Below are 16,952 nucleotides of genomic sequence, written 5' to 3'. Positions count from 1 at the left end.
CTCATCACTCACCTGCCCAACACATAGGCCAAGTGGCAGGACAGCATCCTGGGACTCAGATCTAACACTTTGAGGAACTGAAGCTAGGTGTCTGAGGCAGCAAGTCAATGGGCTGATCTTAACCAGACTCACCCTCCCTGAGAAGGAGTTCAGTGACTGTGGGCTGTACTTTGCAGAAGGAAGGGTCTCAACATGCATTTCAAGCATTTTATCCGACTATTGATTCTAACAGCAGGGAAGTTTTGCTTCATAGAGATGTGTTCTTCTCCCTAGAGAAGAACAAGTCTACAGAGCTTCCCAACCTTCCCAATGTCTGGAATACACAGAAAATTAGAACATGTGTCTGGCTTAGTGGAGAGAAAGGCAAAGCTGCCATAGCCAGAGGTGACCCTCTTCGAGCTCCATCCACCCTGCATTTGAGGGAATCAGTTCCTTGGAGCAGCTTTTCATGTATCACCTACTCAGGTCCTGTCCTTGACCCATGAAGAGAATTTCTCTGAGGCCCTGACCTTTGGACGACGTTTGAAATCTCAGAAGAGAAGAGAACGACCAAGACAATTTGTGAGTCAGAAATCAGAGCTTTATTATAACATGAGGTAAAGGAGGAAAACAAAACCTGCAATTGAGGTGCTCCATCAAGTGCAAAGTTCTCCCAGGGAAGCCCCATGAGTCTTTGTGGTCGCTGTCCACCCATGAATGGAATGAGAGGAAATGGAAAGGGTTAAGCATCAGGCTGTAGGAGGTTCTTAAACATTCTGTCCAAAGAGTTCTTCTTAGCCCAGGTCAGCAGCAGCCCCCAGAGCTGTGGCAGCAGCCAGAGCCCCCAGAAGGTTCACTCTCACAGCAGTCGGGGCTCTGGTGCCGGCGCCGGTGGAAGAGACGGGGCCTGTGGTGGCTCAGGCAGCAGCCACCAGCCCCAGAGTTGCAGCAGCCCCCAGAGCTGGGACCACAGCAGCCCCCAGAGATGGGACCACAGCAAGAAGAGACTGCAGGGGAACATGGAGCTGGGCACTGGGGCAGGCATTTAGGGGGACACTTAGGTGGACATTTTGGGGTACACTTGGGAGGACACTTGGGAGGGGGCTGGCACTGCTGCTGGTTTTGCTGGCAAGACATCCTGGCAGAGTTTAGTCAACCTGAAAGATAATAATGAAACTCTTTAAATATTTCAAACCAAGGATCATATTATACCTCTTCTAAAATCAATGCATGTGTAGAAGAAGAATGATATTTAGATCATACAGTCACATCAGTAACCTGAAAGAAACAACTTGAATCTTTCCTCTAAATAAAAGCACATACATTAAAAAACCAACCGAATGAGCTTCGTATTCTTCCTTTCAGGGGAAGCTGAGATTACTCTATCCTCACAAGCCTGAATAGAGTATTCACACTCCATGAAGTACCGATTCCCTTAATACAAGCCCTAAGGACCAGCTGCGTGTTGCAGGACACACCAGGAGGTCCTCTGGAAAAAGATTTTGCAATGAAACCTCCAGATAAAAGAGCCTGGCTTGAAGTATTTGCCAGTTTCCATGGTGTAAATATGCCCAACACAGCAGTTTTGAAGTTACCAACATGAAGTCACTGAACACAGAATTGGAAAAGATGTGCACAGTTAGCTTTCCCCACCTATACGACCTCCGGTAGGCCTCACAGCCTCAACAGATTCGAGGCAGACTGAGTCCCATTCCTCCTCAGTATGGCAGAACACAAGCACACAACTCTTTCTCCAGCCTACCTCCATCCTCCCCATCCCTCTGCCTTGCTCATACCCCTCTGGTATCCCAGGTTGCCACTCACCCTGGTCACACGCAGGAGCACAGACACGTCCCTGGGGAGTCAGAGCAGATGAGGTGCTGAAGCTGGATGTGTCTTTTATAGGGCCCAGGCTTGGCTCTGGAAAGAGGAGGAGGTGGCTTTTGCACAACCAGGCACGTGCTGGGTCATTCCTGACATTCTCCTGCCTCCTAGTCCCTGCAATCCAAAGAGGCCTCAGGAGCTTCCAGGACTCCTCTCTGGGGCTGCGGTCTAGAGAAGCTTTAGCCAGTCAGAGCCTCCACCAGGTGGGAACCCTAATGAGTTAACTTAGGTTACCCAAGGGACCCATGCCTGGACAAGATCCTGTTCCCTGCATCTTTTGTATTCGTGTCCTCTGAGGAAACATCAGTTCTGAGCCACAGCTTTCCCTGACCTTGTGGAAATGTTCCATTATGACTCCCTCCACCCTGAGCAGTTTCTCTTCCATGTCCTGCTGTGGATCCAGCCATCCCAGGGGGCTTCTACAGCCTTGGCTTTTTCTAGGCATCCCTCCCTTGCCTAGGCTCTCAGCCCTTCCTCCTGGCCTCTGTGTTTCTGCTTTTCCTCCAACTCACCATGGCCAGCAGATTCAGTGGATTAAATCTGAGTTGATTCTGTGGTCTAGAGCAAAGAATATGATTGAGAATAAACAATTCCCTCTAAAATCAAAACATTGCCCTTAGTCGGAGGAATTGTATTGAATGTGCTACTGGAATCAGAAAACTTGCATATGATAACTGAGTGATCTCTGGAAATTGCTACAACAATTATCAACAATTGCTAGAGTGTCACTATGATACTCACAATGAGTATCAATTCTCATATGTAATGGCCGTTATAAACCAGGTATACTTATCTCACTGAGCTGTTTTTAATATTAAATGAGAAGTAAGAAAGAGCTTAGTGTGACACTATGTGCTTGATAGACCCTTAATAAATATGTGTTTAAAAGAAAAACTAATGCCATGTATTGGATACTTACCCAGGTCTTATGTGGCATTCATTGTCCATATAGAACCCTTACAAGACAGTTTATTTGAAAACTCCCTTAGGAAGTAGACATCATTTATTGTGGCTTCTGTGGAGAGGGAATTCCTTTCCTATCATGAAGTAGAGGGTCAGAAAGGGGTCTACTTACTCAGAGTTCTGATTCAGGGTTGCACTAGACAGAGTTACCCATTCATTTATTCACTTATTTTAAACAGATATATGGAGGATGAACTTTGAAAACCTTACGCTAAATGGAAGAAGCCAACCACAAAAGACTGCATTTCTTATGATCCTATTTATATGAAATGTGTAGAGTAGGCAAATCTGTAGAACTAGAAAGGGAATGAGGCTTTAGCCAGTTACAGCCTCTCTCAGGCTGGACGCCTGAAGAGCTGACTTAGGGCATCTGAGGAACCAGAGCCTGGACAAGATTCTGTTCCCTGTATCGCCTTTTACTTTTGTGCACATCCTCTGAGGAAATATCAGTGGCTTCCAGGTACTTTAGCAGGCTGGGAGAAATTAGAAAATTACAACAAATGGATATAGGTTTTCTTTGTGGAGTAATGAAAATGTTCTAAAATTTGGTGGTGATTGTCCAACTCTATGAATATATTGAAACCCACTGAATTAACACTTTAAATAAATGAGCTGTATAATAAGTGAATTATGGCTCAATGAAGATGTTGAAATTAGAATTGAAAAAGATAGTTATTCACACCTCTGATTAAAACAGAAACAGACCGTGCCTTGACATTGCCTAATGTTTACTTGGTGGTGGAGGGTGGTTAGGTAGAAAGCATAGTTTCCCATTGTCTGCTTCTACCTGAGGGATTCTATTCACCTATTTACACAGTCCTATTTTCAGACCCGAGTCCTGTTCTCAGAGAGCTTTTACCTCAAGGATAAACTAAGTCCACAGTGTGATTAGAGCAGTGAATTCAAAAGGCATTCTTTGAAAGCCTACAACATTCTTGGAGCATGTATGTCCAAACATAGGGATATAGAGGTGAACAATAAGTAGCCCATGACCTCAAAGACTGTAGAATTTAGTGGCCTTTTTGAAGATGACTGCAGACAAACTGGATACCAAAGAAGATGATGTTTGAGGCCTGAACCTCCTGAGTCACTATTTCCCAATGTGTTTAAAAGATGTTAGTTCATTCCACTGTCTTCATGGTGATATCACCCTCAGCTTCCTCATACTCTTTGACAAAGATATTTGTTACAATGTTGTAAGTGAGGAAATAGGGGAGGCAAGCCTGTGTGTGTGTGTGCATGTGTGCACTGTGTGCATGTATGCACTGTGTGCATGTATGCTGTATTCATATAAAAGTGCAGGTGAAATGAACATGCACATACATGAGCATCTGTATTGAGTGGTTGAATAAGCAATGGAAGGACTAATGGGAACCGACCCTCTGGGAAACCAGAACTGGGAGATAAACAGCTCTTTAACATGCCCACTTTTTCCCTTTATATCTCAAAAAATGGTGGGAATTGGTTCACAAGTCAGTGAAGAAACACCTGACTATAGATATTCTTGCTTCTGTCTCCACAGTCTTCACATCATCATGTGTGATCTCTCTGAGCCAGGAGACCCAGTGGGTCACATTGCCCATGCTCCCTCAGGGACCACCCACATACTTAATTGCCACATGAGTGTTGGCAGGATCAGTGCATCATTTTAGGACCACATGGACGAGCATGTAGGTGTCATGAGAAGAATGCCCTGCGGGTGACTTCAAACATTTCATCTGAAGTTCATGTCATCTGGCAAGTCACTCTCCTGCAGGCTGGTCTCTCCAAGTAGCTCCTTGATTTGTCTCCCTGGGAACTTAAACTCCATATATTCCAGAAAAATACTCCCTACCAAATGTGGGAACTTTATTTTATCTACAGTACAAGAAAAAGCCTTACCATGTCTTTTTATTTGTCTCCCTTTATTTAATAGATTGACCAATCCAAAATTTTCCTGTACCATATCTTTGTAGGCCTTTTGATCTTTTTTGTCAATACTGTCTAGCAGTGTCTAGTGCTAGACATAGTGATAGGGAGGAGCACAGCAGAGGGGTGTTCTGGGCAAAGCAAGAATTGGCCCGTCTAGTATTTACATACATATTTATATGACCTAAAGTGGATCGGTTTTATACTTATCTTAATTCATCAATTCCATGATACAGTCTTCTAATACTTGTTAACAGCCCTTAAATCAGTATATACCATATGATTGGTGGCACGTAATTGTTGAATTTGCAGCATTTTTTTCTTTCCTTGTGGTGCATGAAATAAGGGTGTCCCTTACAATTGATAGCCTCTTAAAGCTCATGAAATACTGTAGGTAGGAAGTGGGTACGTAGATATGAAATGAAATGAGAGACAGAATTGACATTGATTTAGCATTAATTCTGTTTTTAAGCATGTCAGTTCTAACACTTTTAACTTGGGGTTATACGTTTCTTCATAGGTACTAATTCGATACAAATGTATTTTATAAACTGTCTGCCAGCACACCAAGAATAGGTTTAAAAGGGCAAAATTATGCCCGTCCTGGCTCTAATTTATCTGACTTATTATTCAATTCATTCTGAAACTCAGATACCTTTCCAAAAAACCACCAGCAATGCCAATGCCTTCAAAGGGCCCTCCACAGTGCCACTCCAGTGCACAGCCCATGTTCACCTCCGAATCTTCTTGTGTGACCCCTGCATAGGAAGAAGCTGCAGCAATCACCAGTCCCCAGAGCTCCAGCTACTGTGCAGTGGTCAGCAGCCTTGTCCGTGCTGTACTGACTACACTTCTGTGAAACCAAAGTGCGAAGGCCAAGGGCCTCCTCAGCCGCATGCTGCACTCCCTTTCTCCAGTCCTCCTAACATCACAGCTTTGTTGGGCTTACCATGGGGTTACCAGGTAGAAGCTTCTGTTTTCCCAATATTCTCCAAAGGTCTGTCCAGAAATTTGCCTTTATCCTAAGTGAAAATAAAACCATCATGGCATGTTCTTAGTGTGTCCTCGTCACTGTTGACCCTCTTCTGTCTCTTGGGTCATATCTCCAGTGACCTCCATGTATCCTCTCAGTCTCTGTGATGGTTAATTTTGCCCAGGCTATGCTGTGTTACCCAGTTGTTTGATCAAATAGCAATCCACATGTTTCTCTGTAAGTATTTAATCAGTAGACTGAGTAAGCAGATTATCTTCCCTAACATGAGCCTCATCCAATCAGCTGCAGTCTTTAATAATGGACACTGAGGTTTCCCAAAGAATAAATTATCCTCAAGACTGCAATGTAGAAACTCTGCCTGTTTCCAGACTACTGCGTTGCAGAATTTAGACTCAATGCTGCAACATCAACTGTTATCTGAATTTCCAGCCAAGATTTTGGACTTGCCAGCCCACACAGTCATCTCATGAGCCAATTTCTTAAAATAAATTTATCTCTCTCTTCTGTTTCTCTGCAAAACCCTAGCCAATTCAGGTCTACCTACTTCCCCATCTTTCCCTGAGGTATAGGTTGAGTGGAGTTGTGCTTTTGGGTCAAATGCCTCCGTGTGTGTGTGTGTGTGTGTGTGTGTGTGTGTGTGTGTATACATGCATACATACATGTGTGTACAATGATAAAAATAACAGAAAGTAATATAATAACTGATGTTTACTGACCATCTATTTTTTTCTAGGTATTATTTAAGTGTTTTATACACATTATCTCATTTAATCCTCATACTAATCATGTGATGTAGGTGGTATTAATATTCCCACTGTACTAATGAGAAAACAAAGGCTCCTAGAGCTAAACAAATAGCCCAAGTTCACACAGCTGGGAATAAAGTTCAGAAAATTTAACCAAAAAAATTTCAATTATTTTAGTATAATGTCAACAGGTTTCTGACAACAAGTTTACACACAGCATAGATACACTACCATACACACACACACACACACACACACACACACTCACACACACAATGTCAGACCATCTGTCTAGTCCAGATTGTCAATTATTTTGTTTGGTGGGATGAATTTTCCAGATAATTTATAACTATGCTTTCTAAATCCCTCTCCCATACCAATTCCCTGCCAACATTGTCTGTGTACCTCTCTTATATGCAATATCTATGCACTTACTTCTTAATCAAAACCAAGACTGAACCCATCGTTTTTCATGACCCAGACAGCACTATTTATAGGCTATCATGGGAGAAAATTATGTTAATTACATATGATCACTACACACACACACCAACACCCTCACTGCCTATGTCCATTTATATCCAGTATTTCTTTCTAATCATTGGAATTAGAAGAATGTCAGTGTTAGATGAATAGTGCACATTAATTAAATATTCTATTTGCAATCACTGCATATCCATGCCTTAGGATTCCCTGGAGCAAGGAACTTTTCCAAGAATTCTGTGCTGAGCAAATTAGGTAACTATTAAGCAGTTCTTACAAGAGTAAATGAGAGAAGGATATGATCAGATGAATTAAAAGAAAAGAACATCTCTAAAGAGAAAACAATTTGAGGATTTTCTTGGACTGTCTCCCATTAGTAAATTCAATAATCAGAGTTTATTAATTCACTCTTATACACACTCAGCAAGTATTGTTGACTATGTGGCCAACTCTGGGGATACTACATGATATGAAAGGAATATAATATCTGCCCACTGTGACTATATTCTTCAGAAAGGAGGGAGGGACGTGGATGAAGAGGGCATGAGAAATAGAGGCTCATTTTATGCAGTGTGGGAACTAACACAGAAACATTAGTATATCAGGCAAGAAAAGAAGGGAATAGCTGTTTTAAGTCTAGCTTGTTGAGAAGAACTTACCATAAGCTGTTTGAATTTCACACACAGTAAATAGTGCATGCCTTCCCAGTTTAACTCCAGAGAACTTGTTGAGACCACAGAATGTAGTTAAATCACCTAGATTTGGATTCTGAGAACAAGTTACTTGCCTTAAAGCCTTAGAAATGTGCCCGAAATTGTCTGTGCATCTGTCTTTTCATCTATGAAGTGTGGAAAATAGCTGTAATTTCCTAACAGCAATATTGTGTGAATTAATTGTTATTTTGGTTGAGTTACACCTGAAACACTTATAAGAGTGCATATCTTATAACTAGCACAAAAGTTTAGAATTACATAGTTTTACTCTTTCTGTACATAGTTCTGAATTAGGTGTGAAGATGGAGCAATGCAACCAGCGTGGGGGTGGACTAGGATTGAAATCTGACCTAGCAAGGTCAAGGAGCAACCATGAAATGGTAACATGGGGAATTTCTTTCTGAATATTAGTGGGTTTGCCAATTATTTACAAGCAGAAGGAGAATTGTTTAGAAAATGAAAAGTAGCCTTATTCTAGTTTACACATGTGTTCTGTTCAGCTGAATTCACTTCCAGCTGAACTCATGTTAAGATATCCTGCCAACTGAGCCAGCAACAGTAAGAGTCCCTCCAAGAGCCGGCCAATATGCTGGTCCCTCAGGCTCTGGAGTTTTTCTTAGCACTGGGGTTAGTGTTGGTCCTGCTCTGGGAGCAGCTGCTCCTGGAGTTAGCACAGGCAAAACACAGTCAGCAGACCTTGGCTGCAGAGCTGTTGCAGCAGCAGCGACAGAGCCTGGAGAGTCAGTGAGAGAGCAGCGTCGCAGCTCTCGGGCACTGCTGTGGATCTCAGAGGGTCCGAGTTGAGATAACCACACACACAAGCATCCATCCTGGCCCAAAACTCCTTTCTACTCTACCCTATTCCTGGGCTGACCCTCTGGGGACTCAAGAGGGTGACCAGGTAGAATTTTTCATTCGATGTGGAGGTGAAAGTGCTCTCTGGGGATTCTGGCCCAGGTGACAATCTATCCACCTTTTCCTTTTCACAATGTGTTCTGGTTACTGTTGACTCTCCTCACTTGGGTCATATTTCAGATAACCCAGAGTTAATCATCTGTCACCCTCCCACTCTAGATACCTTTGAAAGAGATGCAGCCATAACACCAAGTATGGTTTCTGATTGGACAGCACACTTCTTCTCAGAGCCTCACCCTCCTCCTGCCCTTGAGAGATGATCCAGACCCCTGATCCTTGGCCCACTTCTGGGTGATGGGTGGATTAGAGGTGGGGAGACAGGAGGCAGAAGTAACCTGGAGCCTCCGCCAGGCTTCCATAAGCCAGGTCTTGTGCCTGTCTCCAGGGAGCCCCCCAGAGCACTCCAGACCTCAGCTGCAGGCAGTGAATTCCCCTGCCTAATCAACCTTCCAGGCAGATTTGCCTCAGTGCATACAGCAGAGACCATAAAGGTGGAAACGTGGGCAGGACGTTCCTGAATGTTGCATTAAGAGGTAAGTGAAGTGTACCCAGAGAGTCTGTGTCGCTATTTCCAGAAACCAGCAATCCAGCTGTCTTTACTCAGCAGGTTGAACTATATCAAGAACTACTTGATTGGATGTGTACGCAATGTGCGTGCTCCACTTCATTCTTAACTTACATCTTTAAATTTTGTCCAGAACCACACCATGTCCAGATATCAAAATTTATACTTCTCTATCCCTTCTGTACATACAAGCAGCCAGTGAGATTTAGGAAATTGTTGGGACTTTAGGAAAGCTCAGGTAAGAGGCTCTATTGGGATCAGGACCTTTCACCCACCCTTTCTCTTTCTTCAGACCTGAAGTACAGCGTTGCAGATCAGAACTCCATCAGGCATCTTGAGATCACCAACTGTTTCTCAGGAAATAAGCACTAATAATGAAATGACAAGACAGAGGGGTATCCATCTCTGAATACTCCAGGGAACCACCATACCAGCCATGGACTACTGACCTCTGACTTAATCACATGTGAGTGGAAATAGCCTGCTCTCCTCTTTAAATTGCTGTGATTTTGAGTTCCTGTGATAGTAGCAGAACTTAATTTCTAACACACATGCACACATGCCAAACATAAGATAAGATGCAAGTAAAAACCAATAGTCAGATTGGAAATTATTCTGTGTATGGAAGTTTAGATAAGGAAAGGATTATGTTCACCATGAAAGGAGCACATGGAGCCCCAGATAGCAGGCCCACTGGAGAAGGAAAGGGCCGGTGAGTTGCTCTTACTTAAGGCAGAGGTCCCTGAAAGCATACTCGGGTGTCCACCCCTCCGCAGGCCAGCCTTCACCTGCCCCAGGCAACCTTAGGTCCCCCGCTTGGTGTTCCATTTTATACTGTTTGGGTTTTTTTATTTGTTTTGTTTGCTGACATGTAAACACTAAGGACAAGGAAAAACTTCTTAACCAACTCAGGAAACCCTGAAGCTATGAAAGCAAAGAAAGTCATATTTGAGTATTTAAAAACTACAAATATTTCCATAGCAAAAGTTATTATAAACAGAGTCAATTAATTATGATGTATTAAATATTTTAATAAAGACAGATCAAGGTTAATATCCATGATATATCAAGAGCTCTTGAAAATTGAAAAGAAAATTTAAAATCCTATTACAAATTTTGTAGAAATAGCCAATGTACATATTTATGGAAGCTCAAAATTACTACTGGTCAGGGACTTGAAAATTAGTTAATAATGAGACTGGCAAAATAATAAAGAGCATTGAGTCAAATAAACTGACTCAGTGCAGAGGGTGATTTAAAATGCAGACAGTACAGAATCTCAAACTGGTTAATCAGCTGGGTTTTTGTCTTAGTGGCACTAAGGGTAAGTAAGAAGGTAAACATATTAATAAGAGGCTCCATCTCTGTCAAAATCCGTCTTTGCTGAATCCATTATCTTCATGTCGACACCTGTCAGCCTGAACCTAAGAAGCACTAGCCCTTGTTTCCCCTGCTGTGTCCCTGCTTCCCTCCCCTTCCTCTAGTAATACTTAAGATGCCCCACCCATCCTGGCGCTTCTCCCCCCTCACATTCTGAGGGTGGCTTGGCAAAAAAGATAAGTATTGAAGGAGGAAAGGTCTATTCTTTCATACAGCGTTTTGTATTCTTTGTATTCTTATGTTCCTTATATTCTTTGTATCTTCTAAGCAACACTTCCATGTTTTTTCACTTAATATCTCCATCACTCATCACTCCCCTGCCCAGCACGTGAGCCAAGTGGCAGGACAGCATCCTGGGACTCAGATCTAACACTGTGAGGAACTGAAGCCAGGTGTCCAAGGCAGCAAGTCAAAAGGCTGATCTTAACCAGACTCATGAAAAGAAGCTGAGTGACCATGGGCTGTACTTTACAGGAGGAAGGGTCTCAACATCTGTTTCAAGCATTTTATCCAACTATTGATTCTAAGGGCAGGAAAGTTTTGCTTCATAGGGATGTGTTCTTCTCCCTAGAGAAGAACAAGTCTGCAGAGCTTCCCAACCTTCCCAACGTCTGGATTACACAGAAAATTAGAACATGTGTCTGGCTTAGTGGAGAGAAAGGCAAAGCTACCATAGCCAGAGGTGACCCTCTTGGAGCTCCATTCACTCAGCATCTGGGGGAATCAGTTCCTCAGAGCAGCTTTTCATGTATCACCTACTCATGTCCTGTCCTAGCCTCATGAAGAAAATTACTCTGAGGCCCTGACCTTTGGAGGACATTTGAAATCTCAGAAGAGAAGAGAATGACCAAGACATTTAGTGAGTCAGAGATCAGAGCTTTATTATAACATGAGGTAAAGGAGGAAAAGAAGACTTGCAATTGGGGTGTTACATCAAGCACGAAGTTCTTCCAGGAAAGCCCCATGAGTCTTTGTGGTCTCTGCCAACCAATGAATGGAATGAGAGGAAGTGGAAAGAGTATCCATCAGGCCGTAGCAGGTTCTTGGCCATTCAGTCCCAAGAGCTCTTCTGTAGCCCAGGTCAGCAGCAGCCCCCAGAGCTGTGGCAGCAGCCAGAGCCCCCAGAAGGTTCACTCTCACAGCAGTCGGGGCTCTGGTGCCGGCGCCGGTGGAAGAGACGGGGCCTGTGGTGGCTCAGGGAGCAGCCACCAGCCCCAGAGCTGCAGCAGCCCCCAGAGCTGGGACCACAGCAGCTCCCAGAGCTGGGACCACAGCAAGAAGAGACTGCAGGGAAACATGGAGCTGGGCACTGTGGTGGGCATTTGGGGGGACACTTAGGTGGACATTTTGGGGTACACTTGGGAGGACACTTGGGAGGGGGCTGGCACTGCTGCTGGTTTTGCTGGCAAGACATGCTGGCAGGAGTTTAGTCAACCTGAAAGATAATAATGAAACTCTTTAAATATTTCAAACCAAGGATCATATTATACCTCTTCTAAAATCAATGCATGTGTAGAAGAAGAATGATATTTAGATAATACAATCACATCAGTAACCTGAAAGAAACAACTTGAATCTTTCCTCTAGATAAAAGTACGTAGATAAAAAATCAACAGAATGAGCTTCTTACTCTTCCTTTCAGGGGAAACTGCGATTGCTCTATCCTCACAAGCCCGAATAGAGTATTCACAGCTCCCTGAAGTACCTATTCCTTTAATACAAGCCCTAAGGACAAGCTGGGTGTTGCAGGACATACCAAGGGGTCCTCTGGAAAATATTTTGCAATGAAACCTCCAGATAAAAGAGCCTGGCTTGAAGTATTTGCCAGTTTCCATGGTGTAAATATGCCCAACACAGCAGTTTTGAAGTTACCAACATGAAGTCACTGAACACAGAATTGGAAAAGATGTGCACAGTTAGCTTTCCCCACCTATATGAGCTCCGGTAGGCCTCAGAGCCTCAACAGATTCGAGGCAGGCTGAGTCCCATTCCTGCTCAGTATGGCAGAACACAAGCACACAACTCTTTCTCCAGCCTACCTCCATCCTCCCCATCCCTCTGCCTTGCTCATACCCCTCTGGTATCCCAGGTTGCCACTCACCCTGGTCACACGCAGGAGCACAGACACGTCCCTGGGGAGTCAGAGCAGATGAGATGCTGAAGCTGGATGTGTCTTTTATAGGGCCCAGGCTTGGCTCTGGAAAGAGCAGGAGGTGGCTCTTGCACAACCAGGCACACGCTGGGTCATTCCTGACATTCTCCTGCCTCTTAGTCCCTGCAATCCAAAGAGGCCTCAGGAGCTTCCAGGACTCCTCTCTGGGGCTGCAGTCTAGAGAGGCTGTAGCCAGTCAGAGCCTCCACCAGGTGGGAACCCTAAAGAGTTAACTTAGGGTACCCAAGGGACCCACACCTGGACAAGATTCTGTTCCCTGCATTTTTTTAATGCATGTCCTCTGAGGAAACATCAGTTCTGAGCCACAGCTTTCCCTGACCTTGTGGAAATGTTCCATTATGACTCCCTCCACCCTGAGCAGTTTCTCTTCCATGTCCTGCTGTGGATCCAGCCATCCCAGAGGGCTTCTACAGCCTTGGCTTTTTCTAGGCATCCCTCCCTTGCCTAGGCTCTCAGCCCTTCCTCCTGGCCTCTGTGTTTCTGCTTTTCCTCCGACTCACCATGGCAAGCAGATTCGGTGGATTAAATCTGAGTTGATTCTGTCACCTAAAGCAAGGAGAATGATTGAGAATAAACAATTCCCTCTAAAATCTAAACATTTCCTTCAGTCAGAGGACTTGTATTGAATGTGCTACTGGAATCAGAAAACTTGCATATGATAACTGGGTAATCTCTGAAAGTTGCTGTAACAATTATCAATAATTGCTAGAGTATTACTATGATACTCACTGTGAGTATCAGTTCTCACATATAATGCCCATTATAAACCTATCAGTGAGATATACCTATCTCACTGAGCTGTTTGTAATATAAAGTGAGAAGCAAGAAAGAGCTAAGTATGACATTTTGTGCCTGATAGACCCTTAATAAATATATGTTTAATAGAAAAACTAATGCCATGTATTGGATACTTGCCCCGGTCTTATGTGTCATTAATTGCCCATATAGAGCCCTTACCCTCAGAGAGCTTAACTCCACCAGACACTTAGATTATTTGAAACCTGTCTTGGGAAGTAGACATCATTTCTTGGGGCTCCTATGCAGAGGGAACTCCTTTCCTACCAGGAAGTAGAGGGTCAGCCAGGAATCTAGTTATTCAGAGTTCTGATTCAGGGTTGCACTAGACAGAGTTACCCAGTCATTTATTCATTTAGTTTAAACAGATACATTGAGTGTGAACCTTGAAAACATTACACTACGTGAAAGAAGCCAGTCACAAAAGACTGCATATTGTATGATGTTATTTATATGAAATGTGTAGAGTAGGCAAATCTCTGGAAATAGAAAGGGGATGAGGCTTTAGCCAGTTACAGCCTCTCCCAGGCTGGACCCCTGAAGAGCTGACTCAGGGCATCCGAGGAACAAGAGCCTGGATGAGATTCTGTTCCCTGTATCTCCTTTTATGTTTATGCCTGTCCTCTGAGAAATATCAGTGGCTTCCAGGTGCTTTAGCGGGCTGGGAGATATTGAGAAGTTACTGCCAATGGATACAGGTTTTCTTTGTGAAGTAATGAAAATGTTCTAAAATTATGGTGGTGATTGTCCAACTCTGTGAATATACTGAAAACCATTGAATTTACACTTTAAACAAATGAACTACAAATATGTTAATTACATCTCAATAAAGGTGTTAAAAATTAGAATTGAAAAAAATAGATATTCACACCTCTGATTAAAACAGAAACAGACTGTGCCTTCACATTGCCTAATGCCTACTTAGTGGGGGAGGGGAGGATGCGGAGAAAGCATAGTTTCCCATTGTCAGCTTCTAACTGAGGGATTCTGTTCTCCTAGTTATGCAATCCTATTATCAGATCTGATTCCTGCTCTCAGGAAGCTTTTACCTGAAGGATAAAGTAAGTCAACAGTGTGGTCAGAGCAGTGAATTCAAAAGGCATTCTTTGAAAGCCTACAACGTTCTTGAATCATGTATGTCCAAATATAGGGATATAGAGGTGAATAATAAGTAGCCCATGACCTCAAGGACTGTAGAATTTTTGTAGCCTTTTTGAAGATGACTGCAGACAAACATAGGTCCAAAGAAGATGACGTTTGGGGCCTGAACCTCCTGAGTCACTATTTCCCAGTGTGATTAGAACATGTTAGTTCATTCCACTGTCTTCATGGTGATATCACCCTCAGCTTCCTCATACTCTTTGACAAAGATATTTGTAACAATGTGGTAAGTGAGGAAGTAGGGGAGGCAAGTCTGTGTCTGTGTGTGTGTGTATGTGGGTGTGTGCTCTGTATGTGTGTATGTTGTATTTATACAAAAATTCAGGTAAAATGAACATGCACATACATGAGCGTCTGTATTGAGTGGTTGAATAAGCGATGGAAGAATTAATGGGACCCGATCCCCTGGGAAACCAGAACTGGGAGATAAGCAGCTGTTTAACATGTCCCCTTTGTCCCTTTATATCTCAGAAAATGTTGATAATTAGTTCACAAGTCAGTGAAGAAACACCTGCCTGCAAGTATTCTTGCTTCTGTCTCCACAGCCCTCACATCATCATAGGTGATCCCTCTGAGCCAGAAGACCCCATGTCACATTGTGCATGTTCCCTCAGGGACCAGCCAAACACTTAATTGTCTCATGAGTGTTGGCAGAATCAATGCATGATTGCAGGACCACATGAACAAGTACACAGGTGACATGAAAAGAATGGCCTGGGATTGATTCCAGACATTTCATCTGAAGTTCACCTCATCTGGAAAGTCAGTCTCCTGAAAGCTGATATTTCCAAGTAGCTCCTTGAATTGTCTCCCTGGGAACTTAAACTCCGTATATTCCAGAAAATTATCCCCCACCAAATGCTGGAACTTTATTTTAGCCACAGTACAAGAAAAAGCCTTACCATGTCCCTTGATGTATCTCATCTTATTTAGTAGATTCACTAATCCAAATTTTCCGTTTACTATATCTTTGTAGTCCTTTTCATCTTCTTGTCAACACTGTCTGGCACTGTCTGATTTTGGCCCAGTTTCCACTCCTGAAAGGGTATGTGTGGAGATAAGGGTTTATTGAATTGTAATTTCCAAAAAGTTAAAAGCATGACTCATATAAATATATAGCAGGCATATTATAAAGATTTGTTTCACTTGTTAATAAGAGAATCAGCATGATGGTAATGCTGGTTCAAAGAATAGGAGAGACCAAAAAAATTCTGGAACAAGATTGCAAATTTAGATACAAAACTGGTTAAAGTTTTCAAAGGCAATGAAACCATTAGGTTAAATTTTCTAGAGCACACAAAATAATTTTCAACTTACAAATCTTCTATAATTTAAATCTAGCTTTACAGTGTCTGGGCCTTGATCAATACCAAATACATTAAGTAAAATCATGCCACCATTTTTTTTAAAAACCTAGAGAGTCATATACACCTTAGGCAAGGTTGTTAGTTACTAGGAAGAAGTAAAAATTTAAAAGACTAATCAGAAATCACTTTTTTGCTTAATTTTAAGTTTTGGATAAGTTTAACCCCCAATTTCCTAACAAGAGATGGTTTCTCAGAAACTGGGGCTTCAAAACCCAGGTCCAGAATGGGTTCTTGCTGAAGTCATATTGGCTGATGGACATCAGAGGGGCATGAATTCCAGGCAGAGAGCTGCTGGAGAATTCACGTGTCGTGGTCCTGCTAGAGCTGGGACTCACTTCAGATCTTGGTATTAGCATAGCTTATAAGAGATGTCCCAACACTGCCCCGCATCTGTTTTGCCTCATCTGGGACATGCCATTTTCCTTGCCTGGTTACCAGGGTGAGTTTGCCAGGGGGAGCCATCAAACTGGCTCTCAGCAGAACCATATGGGAGTCTTAAGAGCAACACCGGGAGTATGGAATATGAAAGGAGAAGACGGCCCAGTGATAGGGAGGAGCACAGCAGAGGGGTGTCCTGGGCAAAGCAAGAATTGGCCTGTCTAGTTTGTACATACATGTTTATATGACCTGAAGAGGATGGATTTTATACTTAATTCATCAATTCCATGATACACTCTTCTTACATTTTTTAACAGCCCTTAAATCAGTGTATACCATATGAATGGTGGCATGTAATAGTTGAATTTGCAAAATTTTTATTTCCTTGTGGTGCATGAAATAAGGGTGCCCCTTACAACTGATAGCCTCTTTACGCTCATGAAATATAGTAGGTAGTAAATGGGTCTGTAGATATGAAATGAAATGATGAGAGACAGAAATTGACATTGATTTAGCATTAGTTCTGTTTTCAGAAATGTCACTTCTAA

At 42.9% G+C, this 16,952-nt stretch overlaps 2 protein-coding genes across 2 annotated transcripts; both read right to left on the bottom strand.

Annotated features, from left to right (window-relative positions):
- Positions 1-562: 562 nt before the first annotated feature.
- LCE2B (late cornified envelope 2B) lies at positions 563-1,837 on the bottom strand. The gene is made up of 2 exons (NM_014357.5): positions 1,804-1,837; positions 563-1,136 (listed from the first exon to the last, which is right to left on the bottom strand). The coding sequence occupies exon 2, from the start codon at positions 1,114-1,116 to the stop codon at positions 784-786; it is 333 nt and encodes a 110-aa protein (NP_055172.1). The 5' UTR covers positions 1,117-1,136; positions 1,804-1,837; the 3' UTR covers positions 563-783.
- A 9,553-nt stretch (positions 1,838-11,390) lies between these two features.
- LCE2C (late cornified envelope 2C) lies at positions 11,391-12,681 on the bottom strand. Its single transcript, NM_178429.5, has 2 exons — positions 12,632-12,681; positions 11,391-11,965 (listed from the first exon to the last, which is right to left on the bottom strand). Exon 2 carries the CDS (start codon positions 11,942-11,944, stop codon positions 11,612-11,614), a length of 333 nt encoding a protein of 110 aa, NP_848516.1. The 5' UTR covers positions 11,945-11,965; positions 12,632-12,681; the 3' UTR covers positions 11,391-11,611.
- Between the last annotated feature and the right edge of the window lie 4,271 nt (positions 12,682-16,952).

The sequence above is a fragment of the Homo sapiens genome, chromosome 1 (genome assembly GCF_000001405.40).
Source record: "Homo sapiens chromosome 1, GRCh38.p14 Primary Assembly".
Taxonomy (NCBI): Eukaryota; Metazoa; Chordata; class Mammalia; order Primates; family Hominidae; genus Homo; species Homo sapiens.
The sequence above is the reverse complement of the archived record's forward strand: the minus strand, read 5'-3'. Positions and strand labels throughout refer to the sequence as shown.

Bases quoted from the DNA above. Each gene is read 5' to 3' on its own strand.
- LCE2B (NM_014357.5), bottom strand. From the start codon at position 1,116: ATGTCTTGCCAGCAAAACCAGCAGCAGTGCCAGCCCCCTCCCAAGTGT.
- LCE2C (NM_178429.5), bottom strand. From the start codon at position 11,944: ATGTCTTGCCAGCAAAACCAGCAGCAGTGCCAGCCCCCTCCCAAGTGT.